The sequence below is a fragment of the Homo sapiens genome, chromosome 8 (assembly GCF_000001405.40).
Source record: "Homo sapiens chromosome 8, GRCh38.p14 Primary Assembly".
Lineage (NCBI taxonomy): Eukaryota > Metazoa > Chordata > Mammalia > Primates > Hominidae > Homo > Homo sapiens.
The window spans coordinates 138739050-138752476 of NC_000008.11; the positions used below are offsets into that span (position 1 = coordinate 138739050).

Consider the following 13427-nt stretch of genomic DNA (forward strand, 5'->3'; position numbering starts at 1 on the left):
CCTTAACACACTTGGCCATTGCACTTTTCCCCTCAAAGCAGCCAGGATGATATCATTAAAACATAAATCATGTCACATCTCCTTTGCTCAAAACACTACAATGCCTCTCAGCTCACATAGAGCAGAACTTTAATGACCTCCAGCCTGCCCTCCATGACCTCATTTCCTCCAACCCTCTTCTCATTTCCATGTACTTTTTTCCCACCTCCAGCCACAGTGGCCTCCCACCTCCACCTTGAATCTGCCAAATGCATTCCAAACTGAAGGTCTGTCCACTGGCGTTTCCTTCTGCCTGGGTTTGTTCCCCAGGTATCCACATAGATCAGTTTTTCAATTCAATTTTGTTTCTCCTGAAATGCTCCTTTAACTGAATGTCTTCTTTGGCCAGCCTCACCAGAATAGCACTCCCTCTGTCCCACTGTGTCTTCTCACGCTGCCGTAATTTCCTTAGTGCGGATCCTCACCAGATGCACCATTGGCGTTTGTGCTTATTTATTGCATGTCTACCCCTACTGGGACACAAGCCATCTGAAAGTGGAGTCGGGCTCTGGTTTTGTTTGATGCTATATACTGTAGGCTCAGGACAGTGCCTGCCACACAGTGGACATTCAATAGACATTTGTGGGCTGAATAAATCATCCCTTTGAGAACTATGCAGTCCCAAGCCATGACGGTGGCACTGAGGATAGCAGTGAAAAGTTAGAGAAAAGTGATATCAGGGAGGAAGGGAAGATACAACTTGGAGATTTGTTGACTAGCAGAGAGAGTGAGTGAGCCTGGTTTAGAAGCCCCTGGATCCACACCTTTGAGCTGTGAACCCATCAGGCTGGAGGGTGCGATAATGTCTGGGTCACAATGAGTTTCTTGATACTTGCCAGGTAGAATTCAAGATGTGGTCACAGATACCTTCAGAAGACAGCCAAGCCTTGGAGGCACTGGGTTTCTCCATCCATCTGATCCAGCTCTGATTAATGCAGACATCGGGAAGCTGATCATAAGACAGCTAAGAGTTGCCAGCTCCCCTTCCTCAGGGAAAGGAAACCAGACACCTTCCATTTTCTATCTAGACAGACACCCCCTCCAGTTGCTTCCAGGGGATTCTATAGAGAGTCACCGGTTATTTACAAGATGAATAAACCATTTTCCCTCAAGGTCAGTGGGAGGACCTGGTGAATAATCATCGGAAGTTAGAATCCAAGCCAGCAATGTAACTGTGTTGAGAGGAAAGACTGAAAGGAGAGATCGGAATATCTAATGGTTGGTAAGAAAGGATGAGAGAGAAGAGATGCAGAGGTCTGGGCCATGACTGAGCAGAATGACTCATTAAGATGCCGTTGTGGTCGGGGGATGAAGCATCAGTTCCCTCTCCAGGGTGACACAATCACCATTTGGGGATGCAGCAAGGTCTCAGCAGCAATCCGCTTCCTGAGCTGACCCCAGGATCTTATGTAACAACGTTACTCATGCTCAGGAAGGTGAACACCTAAGTTGACAACAGGACTTGTAAAAGGCATGAATTCAGGAGGTGTTCCTGTGCCAGGAAAGTTGAATCAATTGATCTGGAAGAGCAGATGTATGGGCAAGTAGGAGGCGCGTGGTAGACAAGAGAGAAATGCAAAGAAACACATCTATGGAAGCAGACACCATAAGCATTAGGTTTTCAGCAAGGAGAAAGAAACCAAAAAGGTGGCAAGAGGCCAGAGAAAGAAAAGTGTCAGAGCAGGTCTTTCATGGGTCATCCATGAAGGGGCATCATCCAGAGAAGCCTCAGGGTAACATCTCTCTGGCATCTGTACCTTCCGCACCCCCAGCATCATGGGCCATTCCAGTGCCTCTCAAAGGTGGCCTTCCTTCCTGTAGCCACAGCCACAGGAACCCACCCTGTTCCCAGGCCCAGTATCTTCCTTCAGGCCCTCCTGGGCCAACCTCTGCAGGCATCTGAGCTGTTTGATTTGGAGATTCCTGGGGTTCTAACCTACCTTTTCAGTTTGGTGTCCAGGGTTCACACCATCATCTCCTAAGCAAGAGCCCAAATGGACTGCTTAGCTCAGCCCCAAATACCCACTTAGGACTTCTGATGCCTGAGACGTTGCCATTCTGCTCCCTCTGTCTGTAATCCTCCCTTCACATCTCAGCCCATCAAAATCACATCCCAGTTCAGTGCTATCTCTTCCATGAAGCTTGAGCAGAAATGACAACAGCTCAAATGATGAGAAATAAATACTTGAGTCATGGATTTCCTGGGGCCACCCAAGAGCTAACAAGTTAGAATTGCCGGGGTGGGGTACAAAGCTCCAAGTGAGTAGAATCAAAGGAATTCTCTGTGTTCTTTCTCCAACCCCTTTCCTCTATGATATTGTAAGGAAAAGAAGTTTAAATCTAAGGTACATTGGAAGGATAAGCCATTTAACTTGCTGAGTCTTTGTTTTCCCACATGGAAGATTATAATCATGATAATTATTTCAAAAGATAATAGGAGAAGAAATGATTTAATATTTGAGGAAGTTATTTATAAAACACAATAAAGCATCCCTCAACTGTAACAGAGAGTGATGAGAATGAGGAGGAAGATGATAATGAATATGAGGAAGAAGAAATAGTAAGAGTCATATTCTGGCTCCTTTGTGTTCTTGTAGTGGGTGATAGACTGTGTGTCAAACAGATCTGGTTTCAAAATTCAACCACCTAGCAGTGCCACAGAGTTTAAATTGGATGACGCCCACAAAGTACTTAGTAATAGTGGTTATGGTGATGACAATGGTAGCAGTTGGTGATTTTGATGATAATAATGGTGGTGGTGGCGGTGATGGGGTCTTGTGGTGGCATTGATGATGATGGCATTAATGGTTATGGTAGTGATGGAGTTGATGGTGATGGTGATGATGGTGGTGATGGTGATGATAGTAGTGATGGTGATGGTGATGGTAGAGTTGATGGTGATGGTGGAGTTGATGGTGATGGTGATGGTAGAGTTGATGGTGATGGTGGAGTTGATGGTGATGGTGATGGTAGAGTTGATGGTGATGGTGATGATGGTGATGATAGTAGCCATGGTGATGGTGATGGTGGAGTTGATAGTGATGGTGGTAGTGATTGTGATGATGGTGGAGTTGATGGTGATGGTGATGGTAAAGTTGATGATGGTAATAGTGATCGTGATGGTGATGGTGGAGTTGATGGTGATGGTGATGATGGTGGTGATGGTGACGATAGTAGTGATGGTGATGGAGTTGATGGTGATGGTGGTAGTGATTGTGATGGTGATGGTGGAGTTGATGGTGATGGTGCTAGTGATCGTGATGGTGATGGTGGAGTTGATGGTGATGATGATGGTAGAGTTGATGATGATGGTAGTAGTGATTGTGATGGTGGAGTTGATGGTGATGGTAGAGTTGATGATGGTACTAGTGATTGTGATGGTGATGGTGGAGTTGATGGTGATGGTGATGGTAGAGTTGATGATGATGGTAGTAGTGATTGTGATGGTGGAGTTGATGAGGGTGATGGTGGTAGTGATAGTGATGATGATGGTGGAGTTGATGGTGATGGTGATGGTGGAGTTGAGGGTGATGGTGGTAGTGATTGTGATGGTGATGGTGGAGTTGATGGTGATGGTGGTAGTGATCACGATGGTGATGGTGGAGTTGATGGTGATGATGATGGTAGAGTTGATGATGATGGTAGTAGTGATTGTGATGGTGGAGTTGATGGTGATGGTGGTAGTGATTGTGATGGTGATGGTGGAGTTGATGGTGATGGTGATGGTGGAGTTGATGATGATGGTAGTAGTGATTGTGATGGTAGAGTTGATGATGATGGTAGTAGTGATTGTGATGGTAGAGTTGATGATGATGGTAGTAGTGATTGTGATGGTAATGGTGGAGTTGATGGTGATGGTGATGGTAGAGTTGATGATGATGGTAGTAGTGATTATGATGGTGGAGTTGATGATGATGGTAGTAGTGATTGTGATAGTAGAGTTGATGAGGGTGATGGTGGTAGTGATTGTGATGATGATGGTGGAGTTGATGGTGATGGTGATGGTGGAGTTGATGAGGGTGATGGTGGTAGTGATTGTGATGGTGATGGTGGAGTTGATGGTGATGGTGGTAGTGATCACGATGGTGATGGTGGAGTTGATGGTGATGATGATGGTAGAGTTGATGGTGATAGTAGTAGCGATTGTGATGGTGGAGTTGATGGTGATGGTGGTAGTGATTGTGATGATGATGGTGGAGATGATGGTGATGGTGTAGTTGATGAGGGTGATGGTGGTAGTGATTGTGATGGTGATGGTGGAGTTGATGGTGATGGTGATGGTAGAGTTGATGATGGTAGTAGTGATTGTGATGGTGGAGTTGATGGTGATGGTGGTAGTGATCATGATGGTGATGGTGGAGTTGATGGTTTTGGTGGTAATGATGGTGATGGTGATGGTGGTGATCGTGGTGATGGTGATGGTGATGCTAACATTATTGGTGGCAGTGGTGATAGTGGCAACTCTAGTAAAGGTAGATGTAGCAGCGGCTATGTAATCTCTGCAGTTTTGTCCCATAACTGGTTTCAAAGATTTGAGAAGTGCTAGAAAAAATAAATTTTGTAGCAATAAAGAGCTGTTTTACTAACGATAGGCCTGTTTCTTGTCATTTTTCTTTTCTTCTCTTTTAAATTGCTACCCAGCACAATATCTGGATTAAGTGTTTGTAATTTATCAAGAGGGCAGATTTTTCAAGCCATTCTGAATGCCAAGATGCTGAGCGGAACTGGTATTTCCAAGGTTGCCTGTCTGCCCATGGAGAGGAAGGAAGCCTATAAATTCAGAACAGCAATTCTCTCCCAGCCAGGATGAGTTAACAGAGTCATCTGAGGGGCCATTAACAGATAAAAGGATTGCTTGTGCAACTGATTCTAATATGTGCCGTATGGTCTTCTGCTCAGTTCCTGTTCTCCAGGCCTCAGAATGTCAAACATGATTATTTTCTACTGGTTAGAGCTGAAACCAGGTGCGCAGGGAAAACCCAGGGTGTCCTGATATAAACCCTGGCTTCATGCCATGAAATGAATCAAACAGTAGCCTAGGATCCAAACAACACTGTTACCACCTGGTAGAGCAGGAAAAGGCAGGAAAGAGATTTTAGAATGAAAAAGGAAAACGAATTCAACCTAGGCTGCCACTGCAAAAAAAGACTGGCCATGTTTCCTTCCTCAAATCTACTAGAAATCAGAGCTGGTGGGCCAGATAACCTTCAACAATAATGAGACCCTTGGTTCCAAGCGAAAGGCAGGGATTAAGCTGATGTGTGCCCAGTGCATCCTATCGGACAGGCATGGTCAGGTATTGAGGGTCCTAGATCTATTCAAAGCATGCACAGCAAGGACAGTTAACTTCCATGTTAGAATTCTGATATGCACATGGATACACACACACACACCACACACACACACACACACACACTCATACTCACAATATTGAAGCAAAGAGGGTGGAGAATTCAGAGCCAGGCAGATCTCATGCCCCAGGTATAAGTACCCTCACTACCTACAGCCTGGGTAACACTCAGTAATTTGATGTATACCTTTAAGTCTTAGAATCCTAATTAGTAGAATGGGATTAAAACCGCCATACCTCAGAGAGTCCTTGTGGGAATTAAATGAGAATCATGGGTGCAAACAATTCCCTAGGGAAGTGCCTGCTATGCAGTGACTATTCAATCAATGTTATTTCCTTTCTCCCTTCTCTTAGCTATACATCTATAAAGAGAGATTCCATTTTTAAAATGCATTCTTAAAGTAAATGACAGTCAAGAACCCCATGAGATGGGTGGGGAGCACTGCCGTCTTTGTAAGAGGGGACATCTTGTTGGATAGGATCACCTCTCCAGTCCTCATCTATTGATGACAGGGAAGAGAAACCAGAAGATACTGAGAAAATGATCAGATGAACCAAAGAGGTTGTCACCCGCTGTGGGAAGAGCAATGACCAAGATCTAAGTGACCTTGAGAAGGTCATTCACGTTTCTGGATATATTTCTCACTGTGAGTCTCAAAGATCCCTGTTGCCACAATGCTTCTATAGACATTCCAAATTTTACATTTTGTTGAAATGTGTCACAATATACAATTTTTTTTTACCAACTTTTCTTTTTTTTTTTTAAATCTTCCAGAGAAGATGAAAGATGATGTCTAGGCGATTTCAGCTGAGACTCAGTGCTACAGAGCAAGGCAGGGCGTAAGAAGGGACCACATTCTCTTCTCCAAAATGAGCCATCCCCTGTGGAAGGTGAGAACCCAGGTGACCAGGCACCCAGTTCTGAATCTTGTCCTCTTCTAATCATTCACTTATGTTCCTTAACTGTATGAGATTATATTAATGTCATTACCTATTTAATTAATGCCATTATCTATTTATGCGTATTTTATAGGCATATTCCTATTGTATTTATAACTATGTTATGTGTCCATAAAATATGTATGTTTTACAGGTGTGAGGGACTCTTCTCATTACTGTGGTTATAAAAATAAATAAGAAAAAGTCCTTCCTCTCATAGTCTTACATTCTATTAAAGAAAACAAAAACAAATTCTCAAATAAGAAAAATATCAGATAAATCTGCAGAAAATTAAAATGGGATGGTGTGAGAATAACAGTGACAGCCATTTTGAGGTGGATGATTCGGGCATGACAATTTTTTTATTGGAAAAGTGAGCCTCCTGGAAGCTCTGAAAGGTCCCACTGCTGCAGTGGCCTTGAGCCAGGCTGGGTCTTCCGCCAAAACATTCAGGATTCAGACGTAACTGCAGCATCTCTCATTTCAACTAGATGACAGTGCTCCCTGATCAACCTCCTTAATGCCCAGCTCAGACAACAGGCAGGAAATTAAAGCCTTGGAAAGAGAAATGCAGTCCTTCTCTATCTCTCTGCCTGGTGACTGCTACCGCCCTCCAGCAGGCAAGCAGGCAGGCGGGCAGGTGGGCGGGCATCTCCTGCAGCTCCGGGGATGGCGTGGAGCGTGCCTCGCTCTCAATTCCCCCTTTTACCATGTCAATGTGGAAAAATACCAGCTTTGTCCAAAATGAATGCATTTACTTTGCCGAGGATTATCCTGTCTGCCTGTTGCTAATCTCTAAAATAAAGGGCCTGGGTTCTGTTGCCCCCCAACCCATGTTTAGTGTCTGTCTCTCCATGCCCAGGTTCCAGCCTGCTGTCAGCCGTCAGCCTCGTCTCTTCCCTTGCACAGCCTGAGCATGTGCAGTGATGTTCAGGAGCTCTTCTGAGTGATGTTTCAATTGAAGTTGATGAGGAGGAAATGACAGGTCATGGCAAGGGAAGGAGAGAGATAATTTTTTGAATAAGTCATTTTGTCTTGCATTTTCCTGACTCAGCTAGAGAGCGACTGAACAGGAAGCTGCTTCCAAGCCCACAACATTACAATTTGTTTCTACTCCCTTTTTCTCCATAGATGCAGGCACTGAGCTAGCAATATCCAAATGACAGAACACAACCTGAATCAGGGAATCACCTTTGATGACTGAAAGGCCATGGGGCCCCCAAAACCCACTTGCTCATCGTCCTTCATTCACTAGAGGAAGCAAGACAAGCGGGGAGCCATCCTCTGTGTTGCTCTGCACCCTGTGCTAATGCTCCCACCATCCTGCCTTGTCACTCTTAGTTCACTCTCCTTTACTAGACGCTGGGCCTTTCAGAGCATGACTTCTGTCCTTACCTCAGCATGCCCTCCACCTGGCATCCGACCCGAACCAGGATGGGTGCTCAGAAGCCCTGTGCTCTGCCCAGCCCCTGCCCTTTCTCAGTGGATCACCGTGGGAGCCTTCTAACTGGCCTCCTTCCTGCAGTCTGTTCTCAATGCAATAAGACACATGAATGTGTTTAGGGTGCAACCCGGGCCCTGCCACTGCGACCCTCAAAACCCCAGCATGAGCAACCACGACCAGAAATGTATGAGATAGGCCCATCTGGAACCTGACATTATTTGATGCAGCTTCAAGAAGCAGTGTTCATAGATTTAGGTAAAATAATGGTATTATGGTTCTGTGTCTCTTAAAATTCCTTCTCTTTTGGAGACAACATACTGAAATATTTAGAAACAACATGATGTGATGATTTTAGGACTTGCTTTCAGTGAATTCAGTGGTGGGTAGGAGTGTTGGTATATAGAAAAGAAGTTTTTCAATAACTTATAAATGTTGAGTGCATTTAGGGTATATGAAGGTTCATTTTACTGTCCTTTCTACTTTTGTGTATGATCTTTCATCATAAAACATTTTTTTCATCATAAACTTGTTTTTCATCACAAAACATTTTTTGAAAACATGGAAAAGCTCCATTGGTTACTCACAGTAAAAGCCAAAGTCCTTATAATGACCCACAAGGCCTGAAAGGAAGCTCGTCTCCTGCCAGGCCCCTTGCTGGGTCCAGCCACATGGACCTCTGGGCTCCACCACTCCACACCTGCGCCTGCCCCAGGACCTCTGCCTGTCAGGCTCTTCCCCAGCTATCAGTTTGGCCAATGTCCTCACCTCTGGAGAGCCTGTTCAAGGAAAATTGTCTTCATGGGGCCTTCCTGCATCACCTGCTTACATGCTATTTCATGTCTTTCCCCCGGCCTGCCAGAATATAAACAGCATGAGGGCAGGAGCTTCCTTCTTCCTGAACTACTCACTTGCCTACAACAATGCCTGGTACCCAGTAGATACAGAAGAAGAAATGTTTGTTGAATGGATGAATTTGTGGAAGGAAAGGTGAGAAGAAAAGGGGCAGGAGGGAATAAAAGCAAGTAAAAGAAAAATAGGAAAAAAATTGGAAAAGGGAACACAAGAGGAAGAAAAGAGAGACTGGTTGAGAGTCCCCAATAAGATGCCAGCAGAGCCTCAACTAGAAGCCATGTCTGCAGCTATTTTAATTACACCAATGAGTTTCCAAACTGAAGAGGAAGAAGTCCAGGTCGAAGCTGAGGGGCACAAGCAAGTGTGCAGAGGCAGGATGCCTTCTCAAGGGGGCACTTCCCATATCCAAAACACTGATTTCAATGCTCCCATTGACTCCCATGGAAAACTCACTCACTCCTGCAAGGCCACCTCAAACATCACCTTTTCCCTTGGATGTGCCTATTTCCAGCCCCCCGGCTCCTCTCAGTGGCCTCCCTCAAGCTGAGATCTCCCTCTGTCCTCTGAACATCTGTAGTCTTCCTCAGTCTCCACTGAGGTCATCTGTTTATATGCACTGAGCTCCTTAGCCGACCTGTGAGCTCCTAGTAGCTGAGACCTTAATGTTTTCAGAAAATCCCAAAGCATTTAGCAGAGTGTCTGTGCATCACAAGAAGTCAACATGAGCTTTCTGACAGACTGACACATGGAAAGAAAGAAGGGAGAAAATGAGAAGTCAGACTTTGGGGACGCACAGCCGCACGTGCGAATCCCTGAGGGGCCACTGGTGGCTGTGCTGTATCAGAGCCTGTCCTTCATCTGCAGAAATGGGGATGGCAGAGCTGTTATGGGAGCTGCCATGTAATTGGAGCTCAATAAACACCATATCCTACCCCTGCCCATCATCACTGCACCCCAACCCCTCACCCTGTTTGCTTCTCTGGATCTCCTTGTTTTATTCCTCAAATCTCCAGACCCAGTGAATTGCCCAATTTCCAAGGCCTGTGGGTTGTGTTAAGCTCAGATCAGGCCAAGCACCATTGCATGGGTGGCTGGTATTCCTCAGAAGGGTAAAAAGTGTTTCTGAAGATGATGGCAGTCACCCTGGGAAGCACATCCAGCAGGTTTAAAGAAGTTGTATCTAAGAAGGTGATATGGTTTGGCTGTGTCCCCACCCAAATCTCATCTTGACTCCCATAATTCCCACGTGTTGTGAGAGGGACCTGGTGGGAGATCATTGAATCATGGGGGCAGTTTCCCCCATACTATTCTTGTGGTAGTGAATAAGTCTCACGAGATTTCATGGTTTTACAAGGGAAACCCCTTTCACTTGGTTCTCATTCTCTCCTTGCCTGCTGCCATGTAAGGCATGTCTTTCACCTTCTACCATGATTGTGAGACCTCCCCAGACACATAAAACTGTGAGTCCATTCACCTTTGGCCGTGATTGTGAGGCCTCCCCAGCCCCATGGAACTGTGAGTCCATTAACTCTCTTTTCCTTTATAAATTACACAGTCTTGGGTATGTCTTTATCAGCAGCATGAAAATGAACTAATACAGAAGGTATGAGCCTGGTGAGTGAGCTCTGGGCAAGATGTTCCCTCCTTGCCTTAACAAGAGTAAATTAGATAAAGATGTAGATTTTAAAAACCTTCACAGTCATCTTTATATAAACAGTTCCACCCATCATCTAACTCTACTTTGGAAAAATAACAATTGCCCAAGTTCAATGCAAAATGAAAAAAGCTTCACGTACACATTAATTACATAAATGTACAAAGATTGTTGTTTTCTCTTAAGACTGTGCAGGAGCATGTGCGGGAGCATGTTGAGAGAATGACAGCCATGTCAGCTGTCACATCATGCCGCCCAACCAGGGCCAAGTCCCTTGCTGAGCACTTTTTCTCCTAACAACACAGCTGATGGTGATATCTTCCCCACTGTAGCAAGAAGTAAACCGGCCTGGAGAGACCAGGTAACTTGCAAGGGTCACACAGCTGCTGAGACGTGGATCAGCACTTCAATCCCAGGTGCATCTTGTTCTGAAGCCCAGGATCCTTCCACTCTATGGAGGAGGGAGACACCTAGCTTTGACCCACCTGACTGCCTCACTTGACTGACAGGGAAACTGAGCCAGGGGTGGGGATGCTGAATGGGAAGTGGGGGCGAGTGAATCTCTGATACAGTTTGGCTGTGTCCCCACCCAAATCTCATCTTGAATTGTAACTCCCACAGTTCCCACACACTGTGGGAGGAACCCGGTGGGAGGTGATTGAATTATGGGGGAAGGTCTTTCCCATGCTGTTCTCATGATAGTAAATGAGCCTCAGAAGAGCTGATGGTTTTAAAAACAGGAGTTTCCCTACACAAGCTCCCTCTTTGCCTGCTGCCACCCATGTAAGACGTAACTTGCTCCTCCTTGCCTTCTGCCATGATTGTGGGACCTCCGCAGCCATGTGGAACTGTAAGTCCATTAAACCTCTTCCTTTTGTAAATTGCCCAGTCTCGGGTATGTGTTTATTAGCAGCGTGAGAACAGACTAATACAATCTCTCTCACCCAGTGCACCTTCCTGATGCCTTTCCCTGCCTCACCTAGCCTTAAAATAAATTATTTGTAGAATTTTGAGAATTCAAAAGGGTTATAGGAGGCACAGTTCTTTGAAAACCAAAGATCGAAGTTAACCAGTGGGTAAGCACAGGTCAGAGTCGGCGCTGAATGAGAAGAGCAGGCCACCCCCTTTCAGAACGGAGGATGTGAACTGTGATGGGGAGGCAACCCCCTTAGACGAAGTCAATCCACAGCAAAATATATGGCACTATCCACGTCACTGAGCTACAGATTGTGCAGGCTAAGAGAGGCCATACGTGGAATGAGGGCTGCCTCTCCCAGATGCCAGGACTCCATTCCTACCCACCCATCAGTGGTGTAAACCTCCAGAGGCAGGAAGCTCACTGGTCCCTGGAGCTACCTGCCCATCTGTGGATGCCTGTGGCCCTCAGATTGTTAACCATGTGAACTAGTAAAAGGCGATACAAGCTTAACGGTTACAGTTCAACAAATGTGAGCTGACTTCCTGCCCTGTGCCAGGTACCTTGGTGGGAACTGGGGACACAGAGTTGAGTCTGGCTTTCAGTCCAGTTTGCTGTGGGAGCATTGGAGGGGATAGGGGTACAACCCAAGCATGCTTCTGCAGCCCTCCTCAGAAAGTACGGCATTGTTTCAAGAGCTGAATTTACTGGTGAATTATACCCTTATGGTGTGCACAATCTAGATAGGAAAACAGGTGCTTAATTAATTAAATACCATGAGATATCATATCCAATAATGTGCACAATCTAGATAGGAAAACAGGTGCTTAATTAAATTAATTAAATACCATGAGATATGATATTCAATAATGGCATGGATATATTAGATGCACTCAGTTGCCTCTTCTCTGTATACCCTCAGCACTGGGCTTCCCTGCTCTGGGGCTGTGATCACCCAATGGATTCATGTCTCTCTATATATGACTCCTGGCAGACAACAGACTGATCTCCATGTCCCTGAAGCCCAACTCAAGGCAGAACACATAGTAGAACCTCAACCATGTTTGATGAACTGAATCCAACCCTTCATTCTACTTCCAATATTCATTTCAAGTCCCTGAAACTGACACTGTCTATCTTCTCTGCATGGCATTATAAAATAGGGACCAGTGTGGGTGAGCTGAGGAATCACAAAGAAAAGAGAGTTTACTTACTCGGAGACCTTGCAAACCAGGAGGTCCATCCCTGCCTTCTGGGCCTATTGGACCCTTTAGGAGGGAGAAAAAGGAAAAAGAGAGAGAAACATAATGGTAAATGCAGGGCTCAATGGCATAGCTTAGGCTTTAGAATCTCACCCTCATTGAATAGTGTAATACCATCCCATTCTGATGGGGAAATTCGGAGGTCCCATTCTCTCAAACCTATAACACTTTAAAACATGTACATCTATCAGATCTGATTAAGTATGTTGAGCAGTCAGGATGTAAGAAACCTAGTTCGTACTTTATACTGAGTACTGTAAGCATCCAACAGCTTGCTTTAGTGGTTTGCACAAAGCACACAGAAGCGAACTGTCTGGAACCTAAGTGTCTTTGATTCTAAGCCCAGTGCCCTTTCCCTGCAGCCTGCTGGCTCAGAAAGAACTGGCATAGACTATCTGACTCTCAGGCAACAGTGATATGCAAAACATGATAGTCTGGACAAATGAATGAAACTGCCTAGGAAAGATCAATATCAATTAACCAAGGAACACTGGCGCAGGGAGGGGTCATACTGACCTCATTCGAATCCTGCCCCCTCGTCCTGCCTCGATTCTGCCTCATGAGCTCAGGCAAGTCACTTGGTGCCGTTAAACCTCGGTTATCTCATCTCTGAAGTGGGGATGATACAACCACCTACTGAGCAGTTATGAATGGGTTCTAAAGCTGGGGCACAGCACCCAGGTCCCCTGACAGAACCCTGATTTATACCACAGAATGAGGCATATCATGTGAGTGGGAAACTGAAACCCTAAGCTTAAGCTGTGACTCTATCACCACTTCTGGGTGAATTTGGCCAGAAATGCCCTCTCTGCATTTCAATTTCCACATCTTCGATAAATATTATTTTCATAATTATCATACTAATAGCTACTGCTGCTAAATTTTGCGTAACTGTACGTGACCAAGCTGCATTTACATCAAAGGTCCTTTCTCTTAATAACGCCATGTAAATGAATAAATCAATGGACAAA

At 45.2% G+C, this 13427-nt stretch overlaps 1 protein-coding gene across 13 annotated transcripts in view; it reads right to left on the reverse strand.

The window, feature by feature from the left end:
- The window catches only part of COL22A1 (collagen type XXII alpha 1 chain), a 325807-nt gene that overhangs the window by 150815 nt on the left and 161565 nt on the right, over positions 1 to 13427 (reverse strand). For 12 of the 13 annotated variants that reach the window (XM_017013150.3, XM_011516886.4, XM_011516884.3 and 9 more), the window contains one exon: positions 12409 to 12462. In XM_017013150.3, coding sequence (XP_016868639.1) covers positions 12409 to 12462 — 54 coding nt within the window. The remainder of the gene's footprint in view (positions 1 to 12408; positions 12463 to 13427) is intronic. The other variant, XR_001745487.2, reaches the window with a different exon arrangement.